This window comes from Homo sapiens, chromosome 18 (genome assembly GCF_000001405.40).
Source record: "Homo sapiens chromosome 18, GRCh38.p14 Primary Assembly".
Lineage (NCBI taxonomy): Eukaryota > Metazoa > Chordata > Mammalia > Primates > Hominidae > Homo > Homo sapiens.
In genome coordinates, this window is record NC_000018.10 from 64122183 (window position 1) to 64145502 (window position 23320).

The 23320-nt window shown below is 38.5% G+C and overlaps 2 long non-coding RNA genes across 7 annotated transcripts in view; one reads left to right on the plus strand and one right to left on the minus strand.

Annotated features, from left to right (window-relative positions):
- LINC00305 (long intergenic non-protein coding RNA 305) overlaps nt 1-23320 on the minus strand; it is a 69094-nt gene that overhangs the window by 42188 nt on the left and 3586 nt on the right. The gene's annotated exons all lie outside the window — the stretch shown is intronic.
- The window catches only part of LINC01924 (long intergenic non-protein coding RNA 1924), a 319511-nt gene that overhangs the window by 18092 nt on the left and 278099 nt on the right, over nt 1-23320 (plus strand). The window contains exon 2 of the long non-coding RNA NR_033881.1: nt 5203-5257. This is a non-coding gene — a long non-coding RNA (long intergenic non-protein coding RNA 1924). The remainder of the gene's footprint in view (nt 1-5202; nt 5258-23320) is intronic.

Here is a 23320-nt window from a genome sequence, read left to right on the forward strand (position 1 = left end):
TAGTTTAAGTCTCATTTGTCTATTTTTGTTTTTGTTGCTGGTGCTTTGGGGGTCTTAGTCATGAATTCTTTACCTAGACCAATGTCCAGAAGAGTTTTTCCTAGGTTTTCTTCTAGTGTTTTTTATATAGTTTTAGGACTTATGTTTATGTCTTTGATTCATCTTAAGTTGATTTTTGTATACAGTGAAAGATAGGGGTTCAGTTTCACTTTTCTGCATATGATGATCCAATTTTCCCAGACTATTTATTGAAAAGGTTGTCCTTTCTCTAGTGTATGATCTTGTCTATTTTGTCAAACATCAGTTGGCTATAAAAATGTGGCTTTATTCCTGGGATGTTTATTTTGTTCCACCAATCTATGTGTCTATTTTTATACCAGTACTATACTGTTTTGGTTACTATTGACTTGTAGTAAAATATGAAATCAGGTAATATGATGTCTTCAGCTTTGTTCTTTTTGCTTAGGATTGGTTTGGCAATTTGGGCTCTTTTCGTGTTCCGTATGAATATTATGATTGTTTTTCTAATTCTGTGAAAAATGATGTTGGTATTTTGATAGAGATTACATTAACTCTGTAGATTGCCTTGAGCAGGATTGTCATTTTAATGATATCAATATTAATTCTTCCAATCCATGAGCAGGAGATGTTTTTCCATTTGTTTGTTTTATCTATGATTTCTTTCATCAGCATTTTCTATTTTTCCTTGTAGAAATATTTTACCTTCTTAGTTAAATATATACTTAGATATTTCATTATTTTTTGTAGCTATTGTAAATGGGATTGTCTTCTTGATTTGGTTCTCAGATTGTAATTGGTATATAGAATTAATACTGATTTTTGTACACTGATTTTGCATCCTGCTGAATTCATTTATCAAATCTAGAGATTTTTGGTGGAGTCTTTAGTTTTTCTAGATGTAAGATTATATAATCAGTGAACAGGAATAACTTGACTTCCTTTTATCCAGTTTGGATGCCTTTAATTTCTTTTCCTTGCCTGGTTTATCTGGCTAGGATTTTTAGTACTATGTTGAATAGAAGTGGTGAAAGCGGTTACCTCTTCTTGGTCTTCCTAAGCAACTTCCCTAGTTTATCTCTTCTCTTTTCATCTGGATTGTAGTCATAGCCAAATATGCCACTCTACTTCCACTAGCTCCTTCATAATGAACTTGGAATTATCTTCTGATAATGCACTTCTTTTTTAGGAATATTTAAGACTCATAAATTTCAGAATCAAATCAGACTACTTAATCCAAAAATGGCCTTCCTATGCCACCAGGCCCTCTGAAAATGCCCAGTCTTTTTTTAAAAAAATCACACTGTACCCCTTTCTCTGCTAATAAATTCACATAGCAGCAGTACCTCAATACATATTCTACATGCTTTTCTTCTCACTTACCCCAACCTTCCCCTTTGGCTTATCCTATTTTATTTATTTTTTTTTAAGAATGCTCTTTCCTTTCACATTTCTATACGTTAATGCATTATCATTCAGGGTCCATGTGCTATGATTTGGATGTTTGTCCTCTTCAAACCTCATGTTCCAATTTGATTCCCAAGGTGGCAATGTTGGAAGGCAGGGCCTGGTAGGAGGTATTTGGGTCATGTGGGTGGATTAATTATGAAAAGATTAATGCCCTCTGTCAAGAATGAGGGAGTTCTTGCTGTATTTGTTACTTGAGAGCTGGCTGTTAAAAAGATCCTGACAGCACCCTCCTCCACTTCCTCTGTCCCCATAGGAACCCGCCCATCTCTCACCACGTAATCTCTTGGCACACACTGGCTCCCTTCTGCTTTTGGAGGTGAGGCCCTTACCAGATGCAGGTACCCAGTCTTGAGCTTTCCAGTCACCAGAATCATGAGTTAAATAAACTTATTTTCCTTATAAACTACCCAGTCTCAGGCACTCTGTTATAGCAACTCTAAGAACTACCTCTTCCCAAAAGCCTTCTGAGATATTCCCCTTGCTCCTCACTTATCCACACACCTCAGATTAGTCTTGTACTTCTCCAGGAATGACAGTCACAGTATTTAAGCTCTGCATGGCATGGTCATCCACGGATCAGAACCTAGCTGGTTGAATGTAATGGCTGAATGGCCAGCCTGCAGTTCTGTATCTCTCTCAACTGGTTTTCCTCATGTCCTTAAGGAAGAGTTCACAGACATCTTCCTGACTAAAAGATGACTACTCTGTGGTCCTATAGCACCTGTGTGTGCCTCTGTCATGGCACTAATCACCCTGTGCTAAAATCACACCATGTTATTGTCTCCATGCTCTGCCAGGTAGAACACCTGGCATATCTAGACACTCAGTAAAAGCTTGTTGCCAAACTGATTAAATTTTTTAAAAAATGAATTGAGGCCAAACACAAGTCTTAATATGTCCCAATGGCTCTTCCTAGTAATTGCATTTATAAAATGCTAAGAAAATGTTTGTTGTATTAAATTTGAGCTCTTGATCTCTAATAAAATCTTATTAATCATTTAATAATAACGATGATGATGATACTGCCAAACAATTACATAGCAGTCACTATGTATCAGGCACTGAATTAAGTGCTTTATAGGTGCTTATTTAATCCTCACATCTACCTTTGTGAGGTGGTTGTCTTATTTTTCCTGATTTTTAGAAGAAAACAGAAGCACAGAGAGATTAAATAAACTGTCTAGAATCCTGCATCTCATCAGTGGAATGACCAGGCTTCTAACCTAGGAAGTCTAACACCAAATTCAATATCTTTTTGCTCTGAATTAATTTCAATGAAAGCACTTTTTGATCTGATGAACCTATGGTATATATTCATTGTTTTCTTTTCCTAACCATCCATCATTTCCATTAATTACTAGTACTCTGACACTGCTCACAGTGAGTTGTAGAATATTTTCAATCAAAAGCATGTAAATAACTGTCTTACCACCAACATTCATCCTTGAAATCTTGCTAAGACATGAAATTGTTGCCTCCACACTTAAACTATTTATTTCCTGCTTCTAGTTTTTCATTTGCCTTGTCCTGGTTTTCTAGCTGAGGACAACTTGTAAAAGTCTGTTCCCCCTTCACCCTGCCTTTAGCACTCAGCTTCTCAGTGACTCAGTGATTCCCTGGGCATCTGCTACCACTCATACCCCAGTGCTCCCAGTATCTTTTCCCCTCATCTTAATTTCTCACCCACATTTCAGTTCCAAGTCTCTAAAATAGATACTGGCCTTTCTTTCACAATTAAATAAAAAAAAATCCCTGAAGATTATTACTCTTATCTTAATTCGTATTCTCAAATATTTATCCCTTAATTATACCAGTAGCATTACATGGTTAATCTTTTGAACTAATTATCATTGCAATATGTTTAATGAGATACATTAAGTATGTCGCAATTTTTTTTTACTTAAAAAGGAAAATATATACATACATGTGTATCTTAAATCCATCCATATATGTCTTAAATCTATCTTTCTGTCTCTTAAATTTGTCCTGTTATCCTCCTTTCCTCAATCCTTTTACAGTGAGTCTGATACTTATTACCTTGTGCTATGGTTTGAATGTGTTGCCCCAAAACCATGCAATGAAAACTTAACGCCCAATGCAACAGTGTTGGGAGCTGGGGCCTAATGGGAGGTGATTAGGCATGAATGGATTAATGCCATTATCAGGGGGAGTGGGTTTGTTATTGCAGTAATTATAAAAGGGAGAGTTTGGTTCTTTTCTCTGTCTCACTCTCTTTTGTCCCTCTACTGTGAGATCACACAGAAAGAAAATCCTTCCTGGACACTATTTCCTTGATCTTGGGCTTCTCAGCCTCCAGAACTGTGAGATCACACAGAAAGAAAATCCTTCCTGGACACTGTTTCCTTGATCTTGGGCTTCTCAGCCTCCAGAACCATGAACAAATAAATTTTGATTCATTATAATTTACCCAGTCTGTGATATTTTGTTACCGCAGCACAAGTAGACTGAGCTACCTTGCAATTAGATGGTGATGATAGCTTCTCATATGGCCTCTCCTTCTTGAATCTTCCCTCTGTTCCAATTATCATTCATACAGTTGAAGTAATTATACTAAAACCTTCTTCATAAGGATCATTTCTAGATGATAGCATTATAAGTGATTTCAATTCCTTTATTATTTTCTATATTTTAAAAATTTTCTGCAATGAACATACTTTCTTAAAAAAATTACAGTAATTATATTTTTTTCACAAGAAAAAGAATAGCAGCTATTTTATAAGATACGCTAAGGGACTACTATTTTTTTCTCTAAAATCGAAATAGGCATTATTAGGCCCCTTCTCGGCCATTCGGTTAGACATGCTGACCAACATAGGCTCTCGCTCAGCCTCTATGAACAAGGAGCTGTTCACTGAGATATAGGATTGCTCAGAGCTGCCCTTAATAATTTATTCATTCATCTCCTTCCCTTCTTAGTATGGGAATTCTGAGACTGGCTCATTCATTCCACAAATGTTTATGAGATGCATCTTAATGATCAAATTAATGCTTGAGATTGAGTGATTGAGTGGTGATCAAAGCGTGTCCAGCTGTAGTTTCATGTTGCTTACAGACTTTTCATCTTTACATCTCTCACCCCCAAGTGTAATGTTAAGCACTCAGGAGATCTCTCCAAATAACTACTCTTGATTTAGGATTTTTATCAGTCCACTGTATTAAATTGCCAAAAATTATAATATTCATAGAATTACTTAAACCTCATTGTCTCTAATCAGGTAAGGAAAATATTTCAGACATTAAGCACTTTTGATTGCAGGAAAATTTTTTTCCAACTTTTATTTTAGATTCGGAGGTACATGTGCATGTTTGTTACATGGTCTAGAAAATTTTTTAAATCTTAACTACATATATCCCAGTTACAGATCAATGGAAGAGTAACCTTCCTCCCCGCCCCCTGCCAAGTAACCAATTTTGAAACCAAATAACATGTTAGGTGTCCAAAATAACATCAGAAATAAACAATAATTTATCCTTAATTTTTGCTCCCTCATCTCAATATTTAGGGTCCCTTGTCACTGCTATATTACAGGTATTATAATATACTTTCTATAGTTCTGCTTTCTTTAATACCTGCTTTCTCAGGTTCTGAACATGTGCTTTGTGGCTTAGCCCTGTGGTAAACATTTTACATGTATCACTTATTAACCTCTCACAATAATGACATGAGGTAATTTCATTACCCTTATCTTGCAGATGAAACTCTGAGGCTTTCAGGGACGTGAGGTACGGTGCCAAGGCCACACCACTGGTAAGTGAAATTGACACTGAAGGCTAAAATCTCAATGGCCAAGTCCTTGCCAATGCCCATGTCTCAGTCCAAATAGTCTCATGCCTCCTTGTAGCTTAATGAATTATCAGCCTGGTTTCATCCTGAAAAACCTGGTTTATATGTGTTCTGTCCAGAGATGTGTGTGAACAGAGAGTGCCTATTTTCACACAGTATGCCTGGAATCAGCCTCAGGTCATGGTAAGATAACCAAGGAAGCAACCCCTTTATCAAGTCCCTGGAAGCCAGCCCAATGGACCCAATCTCTGTTCGAACTTCTACCTGCTATGTGGGATGGTTGTCATTAGTAACCCATGTTTTCCCATGTGTGTTTCTGCATTGCTATTCTCATCCAACATCCTTAAATAATAGGGCTGAATTTCTCTCGTGGATTACTCTATTTTCTAAATTTTATTCTCATGTAGAGGGCCCTGAACATGCTAGGAATGAGGAAGTTTGGGTTTTTGTAACTGAGCTAATTTTGGGAGGAGGGAGGTTGATTTCAGTTTTACATGCTGAGCTCTCAAGGTAGAACTAGGTTACTCCAGTAAGAAATCTTTTCCTTCTTTTGGGTTTTTTTTCTTTTTTAAGGTTGCTATCAATGACATCCAATGTCACTGCATGAGACTAATGTAAAGTGTCAGATTAAATCAAATAATGGTGTCTGTCTAATTGTTTTGCAAAATGAACAACCCAAGTCACTTACATTCAATGTAGCTTGACTTTCTAAAGATTTAAATAGAAAAGGTGATTCTCTGGAAGAGTGATATTTGCAAGATTCCTGAGCTACTTGTGCAATGTAGAAAGAGCCTAGCTATTCATCAACTTGGCTTATTTGACCCAAATGAGGTGAATGGAAAAGATATAAATTCTTAGTCTGTGACACCATCACCTGCCACCTGTCACCTGTCACCTCCAGGTCACAATCTTGAACTGCTCTTAACATAAACTGAAAAGGAAGTTGAAAAACCTTTACCTACTGCAAGATGTTATTTTATTTAAAGCTTCACAACTACAGTCTTGGTGGGTGTGTTCAACATGACTGGCAGCTGCCTTTGATTTACCTGGGAGCACTGAAATGAAAATCGCAGCCAGCCATCACCTTAAAATTATTGGGGTGGAGTGCTGGGAGAAATTCTCTGAATTTATGATTTATTTGCTCTTCTGGTCACAGGTAGTATTTCATATCCCACTCTAGACTTACATACACTGCTGCGTGTATGGGCATGGCCATACCAATTGTTAAAATATTAAAATACTTCTATGCCAGTTGATAAATAGTCACTGCATTCAGCCTCCTAAGTAACTCCCTTCCGGTCAAAGAACCTCCCTCAGGATCCCAGGAGATTCCCACAATCCAGCAAATAAAAGAAATAACCCTGACACAGCAAGATTCTTCCGGAACTCTGCACCAATACTGAGGCTTCTGCCATTCTGTTGTTAAATATTTTAAATATTGTCCCTGAAATGAGGAGTGGAGAACCTGAGTGGGCTGTCTTTTACACGGGATCAATTGTAAAAATACTTTTTTATTGGTTGCTTTGGATCTTTTATAAAACTTCAGTGGAAGATATTGTCTATTATGAGTCCATTTTCTCTTATTACAGAATTCATGCGATACATTTTTAAATTTCTTCAAGAGTGCCTTATTCTGGGAATGTAATTTACTTTCCAAGGAAGACAAAAACTAAAAGGCTCTTGTTTCTTTTAATTAGGTAGAAGGAATACATTGCAATGTAGTTTTCTTTTTACTTTGACTTTCTGGAATTCTAGTACTAAAATTAACACCTAGTTGAACAATAAAATTATGCAAGCTATTTGATGTGTCTGTCTTTCCTCTTAAATGACTGATTTGCTAATTTTAAAATTGTATTCTTTTTAATATGATTTAATGTTAGAAGTTGCATTAAAAAATTGGGGGTATGGGGATAGGTTTTTAAAAAATCATACCTAAATGGAGCATGTTCTGTTCTTGGCTGTGCTAAGGGCCTTGGGTACCAAGAGCTGCAGGGATGCCCCAATGCTTCACAGTGTTCTACTGAACAACTTCCATACTTTTGCTGTTATTCCTCTGAAGTTAGAACTGACATTTCTTATTATTAAAATAAAAATAGATTTGAATAAATATTAAAAATCCATTTAATTGTCCATGTTTCCTATTCAGGAATCTTCTGCTGAGGTTTGCAAACCTTTAAAGTTGACCTGGTTAGATATGAGAAAAGGAAATCTGAAAATATCCATTATAATATTATTCTTATTTTACATTTTGCCTTATGTGATATTTACTTAGTTCATGGACAATTGCAATCTTTCCAACTGCTTCTTTTTTGTAGCTTCCTTGTAGCCATTTCACATGAACATGTTTATTTTGTAGAATTGGTAAAGGCAGAAAGAGGTTAAATTCAAAACACTCATTTCGCAAAACAAATTAACTAGAAAAAGAAAAAGGGGCTTAAAGTTAAATGTTGAGAAGACTGCTTGGAGTATATGCCAGTTTTCAATTGTCTGTGCATGTCATTTTCTTTTTTTTTTTTTAATTATACTTTAAGTTCTAGGGTACATGTGCACAACGTGCAGGTTTGTTACATATGTATACATGTGCCATGTTGGTGTGCTGCACCCATTAACTCATCATTTACATTAGATATATCTCCTACAACACTCTCTTTTACCCTATATACCATGGATGATAAGCCAAAATAAATACAAAACTTACTTTAATGCATTCTATGTACCTTCAGTAGTTTGTGCATTTCATAAATTTGGAGATACTATGCTTTTATTTTTGTGCTTCTCATTCTTAGTTCAAGGCTTTATACATAATATGTGCTCAGTGATTGTTTACTCAATTTTATGTATTATGTGCTTAGCACATTGGAGAATAATTAGGTCCCTTTTTCTTACAATTTCTGTGTGTTTTAAATCTCTTATTTTAAGTTCTGCCATTCTGCCAATCAAAAGAATAATCATTATCATCCACCTGTTCTACCTTTTCAGTTACCCAATCAATCAATAATATATTACTTACTGTGCGCCAAACACATTTCCAAAAAAATACATAGCAAAAGAAAACATTTTTTTCCCAATAAATTTTACTTACCTTATGCATTAAAAGATCGATAAGTAAACTTTTTTTACATAATGGACTAACTGAAATAAAAGTTTGAAAAAGGTCTATGGAAACAGAGAGGAGGGATTCATCAGCTCTGTACTAAGAAATTCAGTACAATCTTCACAGAAGGGTTGATATTTGTGCTGTAATTGATGAATTCAGTTGAAAATATTAATATGAGTTTCCTGGTAGACAGAAGTGGAAAGGGCAATGACATTCCAGATTATTGAACCACCTTGTTCAATAATTGCTTGTTTAAGAAAGATTGAGATGTTCATGTTGCATAGGAAGGAGATATGGTAGATAAACTTGGAGAGGTAGGGGAGACGCTATTGTGAAAGACCTTTCATACCATCCTATGAAATGGGGCTTTAGTCTGTAGGTAAAGGACAGCTAACAGAGGTGGTTGGCCATGGATTTAAATTTCAACTGTCAACTTGTGTTGATGTTCACAGACCAATGAAAAGGGGGAGGCATCTCACTTAGATCTTTCTTTGCAGCTTACCTAACTCGTAGACTCCTGTGTTGTGCTATTATGTAGAAGCCCTGCTACAAAAATGTGAGATCTTACAGGTTAAAAGATAGAAATAATACGTTCATCAATTGATATGTGTTACTAAAAGAGTTTCTTTTTAAACAACTTGAATAATATTCATGACTAAACGTTGGAACTACATGCTACCATTTATTTTTAAAATGCGGTATTCATTTCTTTATCATTTTAGATTATAATGGAAACCTTGACTTCTATACACTATGCTGCAAATTTGACTTGTACCTAAAAAGTATTCACGCTTGGCTTATGTGACATCTGTTGAGAAATTTAAATTACCCATTGACAGAGATCATTCAGATAGGAAAAGCTAAATCTACATAGGAAAATTGAAAGGAAGTGAATTGGGCAGCTGCAGGAGAGAAATGATAAATCATCCATTTATGTCAGAGGAAAGTGCCTGCTTCTGTATTGTTGGTATGTCATGTAGTTCAGATTTGAAATACAAAGCCAACAATTTTGTTCTTATATATAGCATCTGTCCATGAAGGGCTCAAACAGCATTTATATAATGGTTTCTCACAATATTTCAGTGGAATAAGGGATAGCCTATGATGGTAATTTATAGATGAGGAGATGGCGGTGATTGCTAGCAAAGTACTAGAAATGTTGTAGCATCACTCGTTAGGGATTTGGTGCAACAAGCAGGCAAACCCGAGAACAAGTCTCCTGTAGGTGGTTGAATTGTGGAAGGCAATGTGCTATGTGAAGATAGCTCCAGAAGTGTCATCAGAAATGGGGACTGGATAATGCCAAGATGGCTCACATTCTTGCACTATTTGAAATAAACATGGAAGAAGTAAATTATCTTCCCCAAATTGAAAAAAGTCTCTAATTTTTGTAGCCTGCTTCTTTGTCCCCTGGATTCAAGGGTGTTCTTTATTTTTCCATTATTGATGTAGTTGCAATAGAAAGTATTTTTATTTTGTTTTATAATAAAAGAATAATGCCAATTTTAAGTAAAATGTAAATTTTTGGCTTAATGTAAATAATTGTTGCATTTATTTACATAAAAACTGAAGGAAGTTGGGAGACTGCCTTATAATTTACCTATATTTGGTAGGAATCAATGAAAGCCTTAGGAAAGAAAAACATCATTTTAAGTGATTTCTCCAAAAGACAGACAGGCAGAATTATTCTAGGGCATTTGCATGAGCAAAGCAATTAGCAGTAGCTCTATTGTTAAATAGATTAAGAGATAATTAATTTTAAACGCTTGAGAATTACTTTATTTTCTCTTGGTTCCTTATGTCTATATGTGTGTGATGATAAAAAGGGGTGCCTCATTATATTAATTATTTGCACATATTCAATAATGATCTGTTTCAAGCGCTCTGCCGAATTCCGTACATACGTCACCTTGTATAAACCTTAGATAATTTCCACTCCCCCCCCGAGTAACTCATGGATACCATAATTGTATTCACCCTTTATAAGAAAAACAAAACACAAAATACAGAGCTTAGTAAAGTTAACTTTAGACCACATTCCCACTGAGTGGCAGATTCTGAATTAGTATGCAGTGTAGCCTGGCTCCATAGTGTATGAGTTTAGCCACAGCTCCATGATTCTCCTGGGCCCAACCTGACCTCTCTGGAGCTGGGAAGAGCAGAGAAGAGAAGGTCTTGGTTCCTACCAGAGGACAAGGGGTGTTTGCTGTGGGCATAGCAGTGCTGGAAAAATGGCTGAGGTGTCATGCCCAGGAAGTGCTGAGGACTCTCTGGGTGGCTTCTGCCTTAGTCTTTTGAGGGTGACACCATCCCAGCATGACTTCACAACCAGAATAAAGTCAGGAAAGATGGAGGGCCTGGCTGTGTGGCCAGCTGTGCTGACAAGCAAAGTCGAGAGAATTAGTGATTCCTCCACATGGTTCCAGGGGAACAGCTGGGACTTCAGACACGATATGGCAGAAGCTCAGCCAGAAGAGCCTCCTGTTGTCACTGTTGCCAATTTTGGGTTGTTTACATCCCTTTGCTCATTACCTGAGAAGCCTCAGAGGGAAGTCTCAGAGCAGTCTCAGAGGTTGGCACTGGTTGCATAGGAGATGAGGTGCCAGTGGAGGATTTTAAGCCATCTGCTAACATTTCTGGCTGTGTGCTATGCTGGCCAATGTAAGGAACAGAGAAGAGAGGACATATAGTTTGGGGAGGAATCTATTGCATTAATTGACTCTAAGTGAATTACAACAAGTACCCAGACCAGAGGTGGATGGAGAAGAGCAGTCAGATTTGGGTGGGAGTTTAGAGTCCTAAATAAATTTTTAGTTTTAAGAGCTGAGAGAAAGACTCTACCTCCAGACTTACTCCTCTCTAATCCATCTTCCACCCTGAGGCCAGAATGATGTTTTTAAAATGTAAGTCATAAGTGACTCCTCATTAAAGTCACCTACAGAATAAAACCCCAGCTGTGAGGAGGCCACAGATAGGCTCCCAGAAACGAATTCCTTTCTATCTTTCTACTCTGACCTCCAACCACAGACATGGAGTGTCCTAAGTGAGCATCTTGCCTTTACTTTGTTTGTCTTGCACAGGCCTATTTCTAGAGCCAGTGATGTTTTTTTCCTTACATACTCCATGGTAAAAATCCTACTTACTTCTTCAGGAGCAGCTTAAATCACACCTGCCTTGGAAACTCTTCCTGATTTTCCCATTTCATAGAACAACAAAAAAGGTCTTTCAACATGTCATTTTCATGGTTTATAACTTAATCTTTCAAAATCCAAATCTATTATCGTTCTTTTCTGGCTGAAAACATTCAGTTTTCCCTTTTCCTAAATGTCAAAGTAGAACTTTACCCTAGATGAAACCAGCTTCATATAAAATAGTAAATACTTGAATAACATAACATTTATTATAGTGTTTTTTAAAAAGTATACATGCATAATAAATATTTGAGAAATATAGTTTTTAAGGTATTAAACATCGGAGGGGCTTCAGACAAAAAGATTTTTAATTTCTTTTGTACCACGCTAGACTCTTAAATTATGGAAGATTAGTTCAATATAAATATATCAAGCATCCTGTGATACTGTAAGAAAAATATCACTCAAAATCACCAAGGTAAATTCGTCACTTTTAGGGCATTCATATATGGAAACCCTGGCAAACAAGAATAGCAGGAAAACAAGGAAGTTGTCTACAGCTGGTGAATGTTATTTGGGGAGGGAAAAAAGTTCTTATTAGCAGGAAAACAGCAGGCAAATCACAGTTTCATAATTATGTCCAGTATTTATATAAACAAATTTTCTTGAACTGATCAAGATTTGTTTTTCTTTATTGAGAAAATATGACTTCTCTGCTTCCCTAGCTGGAGAAGAAAATGCTTTTGTTTTTTTCTGGAGCAATGGTAGGAAAACGCTCAAGCTCAGCATGAGGTCTGACATGCTCTGCATACCTACCTTTTAGTCAATCTTGTTTATTTCGCCCCAAGCTGTTTCTTTGTGAAATGACTCATCATTATTTATCTAAATTGGTTTTAAATGAGAATGTTTAACCAAAAGATCTGATCTGGATATTATGACAGCTGTTATAAAATAGGGGGGTCCAAGTTACGTCATTTTCTTTCTCACAATTTATTTACTTGTCAGATTTATTATTATCATTGTAATATTTTCCCAAAACAAAAGTGTACATGTGAAGTTTTCAGGAAAACTTTTGGACTATGAATTAGGGTAAAATTATGAAAATCAACATCGAGTTATAAATTATGAGGTCTACATTCTGATTCTAGCTCTTACAACAGGAATTGAAACAATCAGGCTAAGCTCTCTGGGCCTGTTTCCTTACTTGTCATGAAGGAGTTAACAGATAATGTCTGCATTCGTTTGCTTGAGCTGCTGTAATAAAGTACCACAAGTTGGGGAACTTGAACAACCAAAGTTTATTGTCTCATGGTTCTGGAAACTGGAAGTCCGAAATCAAGGCATCAGCAGTATCCGTTCCTTTTGACCACTGTGGGGAACCGTGTTCCAGGCCTGTCTCTGGTTCATCTGTGGCTGTCTTGTCCTTGTGTCTTTTCACAACGTGTTCTCTTTGTGTGTCTGTGTCTTTGTCCAAATTACCCCTTTTTATAAGGACACCGGTCATATTAGATTAGGGCCCACCCTAATGACCTCATTTTAATATGAACAGCTTTGTGAAAACCCTGTCTCCAAAATAAGGTAACATCCTAAGGCTCCAGACATTAGGACTCCAGCATGTGGTTTTGGGAGGTGGGCACAGTTTAACCCATAATGACATCCGACTTCTTTCTTTTCAGCTTGAACATTTTGTTAAGGCTATATATGTGCCAGTCAGTAACCCTGAGGTTTTTAGGGACAGAAACACAAATGTACATGGTTTTGGCATAAAGGGAGGAATTTGTTGGCACAATCCAGGAACAGGGAATGACAGAGATGCAGCTCAGGCCCTTCAATGTTGGCAGCGTGCTTTCTCCCTTTGTTCCACTTTGCTTTGTTTCAGCTTTATTTTCTTTTTTATTTTGAGACAGAGTCTCGCTCTGTTGCCCAGGCTGGAGTGCAGTGGTAGGATCTCAGCTCGCTGCAGCCTCCACCTCCCGGGTTCTAGTGATTCTCCTGCCTCAGCCTCCCGAGTAGCTGGGATTACAGGCTGCCACCACCATGCCTGGCAATTTTTTATATTTTTAGTAGAGACAGGTTTCACCATGTTGGCCATGTTGTTCTGGCACTCCTGACCTCCAGGCCTGCCTCGGCTTCCCAAAGTGCTGAGATTAAAGGCATGAGCCACTGTGCCTGGCCTATTTTCTTTCATTATAGATTGGTTTCCCACGTAACAAAAGACTGCTGGCATCTTACAATTCTTCTGAGGGTGGGCATGGGGAGGGACGGACGTGGAGGACTTCATTCAAGTTTGAATAATCAGCAGGGCTTGCATCTAATGGCCCAGCTCCGACCAGGTGCTTACCCAGACTACCCCTTCTGGAGGGGCCTCAGGGAAGAATGTGGCAGTGGTGCCTCCACCTGCTTTCTCAGGAGGATGGTGTTTTAGGAGGTAGGCAGTTCCATAGGCTTTAACTGTAGTAATGCTAGTTAAAAATGTGTTTTCGTCCTTACTGATTGTGTGTGTATGATACAGGACTTGTTTAGGTATCTGCCTTCCAAGTACAGATGAGGGTTTTCCACACTGGAAAAATCTTGGCTTGTTGTATTACTCTGTTCTCATGCTGCCATGAAGAAAACTTGAAACTGGGTAGTTTATAAAGGAAAGAGGTTTAATGGACTCACAGTTCCATATGGCTGGGGAGGCCTCAGGAAACTTATAATCATGGCAGAAGGCACCTCTTCACAGGGCGGCAGAAGAGAGAATGAGAGTGGAGAGAAGGGAGAAGCCCCTTATAAGACCATCAGATCTCATGAGAACTCACTCACTATCGTGAGAACAGCATGGGGCAAACCACCCCCATAATTCAATTATCTCCACCTGGTCCCACCCTTGACACCTGCGGATTATTACAAATCAAGGTGAGATTTGGGTGGGGACACAGAGCCAAACCCTATCAGCTGCAAAGGCTGAAATGAGTGGAAATTAAGTAATAGTCTGTGGAACACAGAGTAGATGGTGGGGCTGTCAGAAGAGACAATATGAAGAAGGAAATTACAAGTTGGGAGCTTAGGAGCCTGGCTTGTGTGTGGCGCAAGTCCTTAGATTCTAGGCCCTGTTGTGCCTTAGGAAGGGAAGTAACGCAGCCTGAGAGGTGGTCCAGGACACAGGTGTAGGGCACGCTGGACTGAAGGACATGCTGGCTTGATCAAAGCTTACGTAAGACATGAAGGATAGTGGTGCTGTTTGGTGCTCACTTGATTTGCCATTGCATTGGGTTGCATAGCGTCCACCTGCACCCCTCCCCAAATCCATGACTACGTGGAACCTATAATGTGACTTATTTGGAGATAGGGTCTTTATAGATGTAATCAAGTTAAAATGCAATCCTATTGGATTCTCATGAGTCTTAATTAGTGACTGGTGTCTTTCTAAGGGAGAGGATAGGGGAATCTGGACACACAGACACAACAAGAGCACCATGTGATGCTGAGGAGGAAACTGGAGTGAGGCAGCCACAGTCCAGGGGACAGCAAGCACTGCTGGCAACCACCAGAAGCTGGAAGAGGCAAAGAAGGATCTTTCGCTAGAGCCTTTGGATGGAGCATGGCCCTGCCAGCACCTTCGTTTTTGACTTCTAGCCTCCAGAACTGTGAGAGAACACATTTCTGTTATTTTAAGCCGCCCAGTTTGTGGCACTTTGTTAGGACAACCCTGGGAAATTGCAACAGATGTGGCACTTCAGTTATGAGCTATAGTCTTTCTGTCTGTCTACTATTATTTGAATTTGATTCACCAACGAATAATATTTTCTTCAAAATGTTTTAAATTATGAGCACATATGTGGACACAGATATCATATGTCAGAGGCTCACGACTTGTTTCAAAAGTAAAGTGTTGCACCACTTTTAAACAACTCAAATCCATAATTAAAATTCCGAAGTTGGGGTTGGTGAGGAGTGATTCTCCTTTGCAAAGCTGTCTTTGGAGTCCTGCTATGTCACACTGAGAGAATTCCTATTTTATATCTATGAGTTGTCAGAAATCCTAAACTCTCATTGTTAAGATCAGTTATACAACGTTTAGAGAGGAACACCTATATGAATTTACTAAAAAGGAATTTATCTGAGAGTTAAACACAAGCCATTAAATAATATACACACACATACACACACACACACACACACACAATATAAATCACTAGTTTTCCTTCTATGAACCACCCCCACCCTTTTTAGGAACTAAACTCCTTAAAGTTTTCTTTGTTTTAGAGTATTGCCTGATTTGGATGAGAAATATTAATTTCCTCAACTGAAATTCTTCAGATTGCCTCTCCAAATGTCAATGCTATTGGGCTTTCCCTGGGAAAACAAAACAAGATTGCTGTCAGGGAAGCAGTTTGCAGATCAGCAGATCAAGTAGATAACAGAATCCAGGATGCTATTATTAGCTATGGAGAAGGCAGTCAGTTTGCAGGTTCCATAAGTGAGGGAAATGGTTGCATTCTGGGAATGAGGAAAGAAATGGAAAATTGATCAGTAAGAAAGATCCGGGCTGCTCTCTCATTACCTCTTTTTTTCCCCACCAAAAAGGAAAAAAATAAAAAAGTCCAGAATTGTGCTGTAGTCTTTCTGTCTGCCTACTATTATTTGAATTTGATTCACCAAAGAATAATATTGTCTTTGTTTAAAATGTTTTAAAGTTGATGATAAATCCTGAGTTCAGGTCAGTGGACACAAGTGAGAAGTAAAAAGTCAAGCACCTTATTATGGAAATGTTATTTACATCACACGCTGCTTTTGCTGTGTTACAGCTTATAGAACAGTTGACAGCCCTTTCTCAAGTTTCTGTGTATTTCTTCACAGTCCATAACAATCTGACTGTTGGTTTGCAATTTCTTTTCTGATGAGATTTTTTTGGCATGTGAAAATGCAGAGCAGCTTTAGTTCTACTCCGGGTTGTTTTCCTTCACCGTTTTTCTCATTTTGGGGGGCCTATTTTTTATTCAGCAGCGGGTTTGGTGCTTTTGTGGTTATTTTCTAACCCTTGGCCATGGCATACTTAGTACTTAATTTCGGACAGAATCTTTTCTGATGCTTGTCAGCTTCTATTTGACTCTCTGTGTTTTCTTAGTATGTAAAACTCAACCACCACTTATTGTTTTTTGAAGATAATGTTGGTCGTGCGCCTGGAACGACTTGAATAAGCTTGCAATAAATGACCCTATCCAAATGAATCAAAGAGTATGTGCGGGGCACAGCCGATAACCAGTGCATGCAGACGGTATCAGTAAAAACTGTCAGCTCCCCAGTAAAAACACCCAGAACCGCCACAGGCAACTCCTCATAATAGAACTTTTGCAGGGAACAGTTTCTTTCCAATGACAATGCTTTTAACAGCCTCCAAACATTCTTCCTCTGCGTGCACTCCACCTCCAATCAAAAACTGAAATTCCAAATCAAGTCTGAAATACTTTTTAGCAAACAGCTCAATTCTTAATCTCCTGAAAATCAAGGAACCAGATCTTTAGTGAAAATACATTCAGAGCAGCAGCCTCTAAACAAGGTTATCTTTACTTTCTTTCCTCAAATCACACTGCTGTGCCTATTCACATAATTAAGGACAAAGTGATGCTAGGTGAGGATACATTCAAATGAAGTCATGCCTGTAATCTGTAGGAAACGGGTACTAGGTATAGCCTGATAAAATCCCTAGGAGAGCCACTTTGGTGCTCCTGGTTTGTGGTTAGATACAGCAGAGCAACCCTGGCAGTTTACTCTTTTTACATGCAGCATTTTATTGGTGCATTTGTTTAATTGAACACATCAGTCCAGCATTGTCTGAAGCGTACATCATATCTTTGGGTGAGGCAAGTTCAGGAGTCTTCCCCTGGAAAAAAACAATGTACATGTGTGTGTATTTTAATCTTGAAAAATCACTGTCAAATAAATATTAAATGGTAAATGAAGACAAAAACCAATAAAGCAAGCAATAGGTAAGGCACAGGCATCCAGTGTAGATCTGCTGTTTATAACCAGTCCCTTCTCTATCAGGATGGATGGGTGCAGGATGGCAGGAAGCGGTCGCAGGTCTAGAAGTTGTCCTTTTAACTTCCTAGAAACAACTTCCAAGAATCTTGAGGCAATCCTTTTGAACATGTTATAGCATGTGGATCCTTTCTTCCCAATCTTCCAATAGCAACCCGTCTTACTCAGAATATAGCTAAAGGCCTTAGGATGACCCTCACATCATGACCCAAAGCCTCCATCCTCCCTCTTGCCCTCTTTCATGCTGTTCCAGTGACACTGACCTTGTTCTTCTTTAAACACACAAAGACTGCTCCCACCTCGGAGACCTTGTATCTGCTATTCCCTCGACTCAGGATGTGTGGCCCACAGACAAGCAGGCTGCCCCTTTTCCCAATTCCCACTTTCTGTGACTCTGCTCATGTATCAGAGAGGCCTTCTCTGACTATCCAATCGGAATTACCTTGCGTTCCTCCTCCTCTTTACTCTCTGCTTTGATTTTCTTTCTTTCTTTTTTTTTGAGACAGAGTCTCACTCTGTCACCCAGGCTGGAGTGCAGTAGTGTGATGTCAGCTCACTGCAACCTCTGCCTCCCTGGTTCAAGTGATTCTCCTGCCTCACCCTCCCAAGTAGCTGGGATTACAGGCACCTGCCACCACACCTGGCTAATTTTTGTGTTTTTAGTTGAGACAGGGTTTCACCATGTTGGCCAGGCTGGTCTCGAACACGTGACCTCAGGTGATCCACCAGCATTGGCCTCCCGAAGTGCTGGGATTACAGGTGTGAGCCACCGCACCCAGCCTGATTTTCTTTAGAGTACTTTTCCCTACATGGTAGAGACCGTCTAAGTAGTTTCCTCTCCATCTCCCCAACTAAAATGAACGCTCCTTGAGGACAAGAGCTTTGTTTTGTTGACTTCTTGATCCTACTGTTTAGAGCAGAGCCTGAGACATCCACGTGGTCAACAGGATTTTGGTGTTACTGCCGTGGTTATGTTATGCGATATATGGCAAGAGAGACTTTGCAGATGGCGTTAAGGTTGCTAATCATCTGACCTTGGGGAGATTATTTTTTCTTATCTGGGTGTGCCTGATATAATCAAATGGGCTTCATTTTCTCAAAAATAGAAAAGGGAGGTAGGAGAGTTCATGGAGAGAGATGTGACCAGGGAAGAAAGACACGGAGAGATGCAGTGTTGCTGGCTTTGCAGGGGAGGAAGGAGAGGCATCAGCTGGGTGTACTTTGGAAGCGGAGAGTGGCCCTCAGCTGTCAGCCAGCAAGGCGATGGGAACCTCAGACCTAGCGCCGCAAGGAACCAAATTCTGCCGATAATCAGCCTGAATGATAAAAAAAAAAAAAAAAAAAAAAAAATGATTCTTCCCTGGAGCCTGAAGAAGAGTGCAGCCTGTGGACACTCTGATTTTTGGCCTGTGAAACTTTAAGAAGCGACTCAACTGAGCCCACCACACCTTTAACCTATAAAAACTGTGAGATAATAAGTTTATGTTGTTTTGAGTATGGACGAATAAAGAAAAAAATAATAAAGCATAAAATAAATCACCTAAGGTATATTTTGGGTTTTCAGATTTGATATCCAGAAAGAACCAAATGATTTCTTAAGCTATCTGCTATTAGATGGAGAAGTACAAAGTAAGGGTGTATGTACATAAGACATACACTCAAAAGCTGTGAAACTGAATAGGTTTTTAAAAAAGGTTACTGTTGAAAACGAGCATGAATTCTCTTTTACTTAAAAGATAATCGTTGTAGAAAAAAGTGAAAATAAAAAAGGGGGAAAAAGTTGTTGGTTAATGTTTAAGTCTCAATTCCATCATTCGCAGGCCCAGTGACTGTATGCAAGTCACCCAAAGTTGAGATAATGATAGTATCTACCTCCCAAGAATGGTAAAGAAACAAAAAGACTGTGTATGTGGTAAAAAAGTCATAAACTATAAGTTATTAAATATGATAACTCAACTCTCTTGTATGTACTGGAACTATTGTCCTTAGAAGAGTTCTTCGATTCAATTCTGATAATTCTGAGATGTTGATTTTTCAGAAGTGCAACTTTTCTCAAAACGCTTTGGTATGATACTCACGCATATGAAACAATGTACTTTAGCATTATATGCATACTTTAAATGAGAATATTCTCACTTCATGATTATGTGAAAATGAGAAGCTAGCTCAAAATATTTATGGCATGTTTAAGGCTGATTAATCTTACGATCTTGAAAACATGATCATTTCACAGTTTCTAAGCTAAAATGGGATGTACATTATTGAGCTATAAAGGTCTTGGAATGAAATTTTCTCCTATATTCATAGTTGTGTAGGAACTAGCATAAGAAATGGCATTTTGCTGGCTGAGCTGCAGCTCAGACGCTGCTGTCTATGTGCACTGGTGAGTGGCGAGTTGGGGTGGCTCAACATTTTCCCCAACAATGTGGATACGTGTTTTAATCAGCATGGGGCTTTCATTTCATAACTGGAAGAAGAGAATGTAGTCTGTCTGGGTATGGAGACTAGGTTATAAAATGTTATGAAATTGAATAGGCTTTTAAAAAAGTTGTTGTTGAAAAAGAATGTAGATTCTCTTTTACCTGGAGAGGGATAGATAGATGCAGTGGAGTGGCTGGCTAGCATCTCCTTCCTTCCTGGCCTGGTGGATCCAGGGTAAGTGAGGAATGAGGGTCCAATGCTGGTGGAATTGTATTTACCAGAGGATTGTGAGCCTCTTGGCACAAGCAAGTAACAAAGTGATACAAAGTCAAAGAGGCAGTTATCCCCACCACTTCTAAATGGGACTCTGGTGCTTGATGAGTCTCTGGAGACCAAATACAAGCATGAATTAGTGTTGCAGGGACCCCCAGGCACTGCTGGTGGGAGCACATCTCAGAGCAGCCCTCATGGAGCATGATACACAAGACTTGGTGAAACAAAATCTGTGTCTTACACCATGGCCACCCGCGCCCTATTCCACTCTTGTATATACACCATGGCCACCTGCGCCCTATTCCACTCCTTGTATATAACCCCAGGAACCTTGTATATAACCCCAGGAACCTTCTCCATGTAGTAGAGAGTAGTTGAAAGCAACTTAGTGTTGAAAACTAGGAGAATGAATAAGTAAAACGAGATGGATGCATGCCATAGAATAACGCCAATCACTCAGAAACAATGGGTTATATGAACATACTGCAACATAGATGAACTTTTAAAATAGTGTTCAATTTGAAAAGTTAGAAACAGAATAGAAACTACAATTCATTATCATTAATGGAAATAAAATCATTGCATATTTTAAAGGATCAAACATACCAAAGCACAAGCAAAGTGGGTGCCATGAGGGGAAGGGGAAGAGAGTGGGAGTTAAAGATGTAAGAGTAAACAGTGACGTCAGCATTATGAAACCAACCAGTAAAATTGGAGCTGAAGAAATGTATCTGGCCTTGGGTTATGTGGTTATAATATAATTTAGTCCTTTATTTAAAAATGATCTACTTGTCCTTATTTTGTCTAATTATGATTCCCTCCATTTGCTTGCCAAATCTGGATGGATTGTAAGAGGTAAACATAAGATTAACAAAGCACCAAGATGACACTAAATACCTGTTGATATCTAGCTGGCAGTCTTGATTTCCTTATATAGTAGTAGATGGCCTAGTATCTGAAAAGCATTGATGGTGTGTGTGTGTGTATATATATATATGTGTATACCAACAATATACATATTATATAGTAGTAGATGGCCTAGTATCTGAAAAGCATTGATGGTGTGTGTGTGTATATATATATGTATACCATCAATATACATATTATGTGTACATATATATGTACACATATTATGTGTACATATATACACATATGTATATGTACATATGTACACATATGTATATGTACATATGTACACATATGTATGTACACGTATTATGTATACATATGTATGTACACGTATTATGTATACATATGTATGTCCACATATTATGCGTACATGTATGTCCACATATTATGCGTACATGTATGTCCACATATTATGCGTACATGTATGTACACATATTATGCGTACATGTATGTACACATATTATGCGTACATGTATGTATACATATATACACAGAGATAATTCTTATGTATGTATACATACATACATACATACATACATATATGTATACATGTATATATACACACACACAGATAATTCTTAATTCAAACATGCCAGAAATTTGGAGAATTTTTACAAATACAGGTGAATTTAAAAGGTAAGAAGTATTCTGTTTCCTGAAACACCACAAATTTCTCCTCTTTGTGAATTACATACAGTGCTTGCTAATTATAGAAGGAAGATTTGCCTCTTTATCAAATTCTTTTTATGCCCTGTTTGGCTTCTTGAGGCCAGCACTGATTGGAAAAGAAGAAACTGGCCTTCTATTAATATCTACCTTGCTTATTGTTTTTCTGTCCCATAAAGAGATTCTTGCAAAGGAAGTTGACTGGAGTTGGTGAATTATTTATGCTCTATAGAATTAGGTTTTGTTGCCAATAGCCTTATTTGTGTTACTTTCTGAGGTAGGCAGAATAATGGCCCTTAAAGATGTTCACATCCTAATCTCTGGAACCTGTGAATATGCTACTTTATATGACAAAGGAGAGTAGGGGCATTAAGATGATGGAATTAAGGAAAAAGCAGGAAAATGCACTTTCCCCTGGAACCTCCACAAGAGAATGCAGTGTTACTGAAACCTTATTTTTTGCCCAGTGAGACCTGTATCAGACATGTAATTTACAGAACTGTACATTATTAATGATTAATTTTTTTTTGAGACGGAATTTTGCTTTTGTTGCCCAGGCTGGAGTGCAATGGTCTGATCTCAGCTCATTGCAACCTCTGCCTCCAAGGTTCAAGTGATTCTCCTGCCTCAGCCTCCTGAGTAGCTGGGATTACAGGTGCCTGCCACCACACACAGTGTAGGGAGACCCCCTGAAACTACTGCTATGGAATAAAAGATGAAATGCTCCTGATTATTGTAAATACAAAATTGCATGCAGGATTGTGTAAAGACAATGCCAGGTTGGACTGCCAGAACGAGCCAGCAGCGCGGGATGTGCTTCCCCCTGCAGAGGGCCTATGAATGGACGTGTAGTCAGGGGGTTTTCACATCACCAAGATTCCTATCCCAGAAAAGCAGATGTTCATACCTCTGGGAGTGGAATGTGACCCTCGTGGAGAGCCTATAAACGGACACATGGGGGTCGCCTGTCCTTATGGATAAGATAGGGCTATAAACGCCCTCATCTTGCCACGGCTCTTCTAGGCCTCTTTAGGGTTAAGGCATACTCCCTTCTGAGAATTTCTGGTCTAACCTGTTGTCTAGCTTCACGTCCTGTTTCCATGGATTGTTTGTAACCAGCTTTTGTTGCAATTGTTACTGCTGATTCATATCTTGCTAATCATAGATTATGGAAAGACTGCGTTTCTGTTTTAAGGCTCTGTTAGAAATTACTGATGCACACACTATATTGTAAATTCTTATCTCTATATACTGTACTTCTACCTACAAATGTACTGTACTTCTACATACAAATGTTATGTTAAAGAATTACTTCATCCCCATGTGACCATCTCACCTCATAATCAAATGACCCTAAATCCCTCACTAACCTACCCCCGCCCTGACTAAACTTAATAATAAATGCTGGTATATCCAGTGCATTGTTGGCACCATGGGACCAGAAGGCGGTGACCCCCCTGGACCCAGCTTTCACTATCTTGTGTGTGTCTATTATTTCTCAACCTG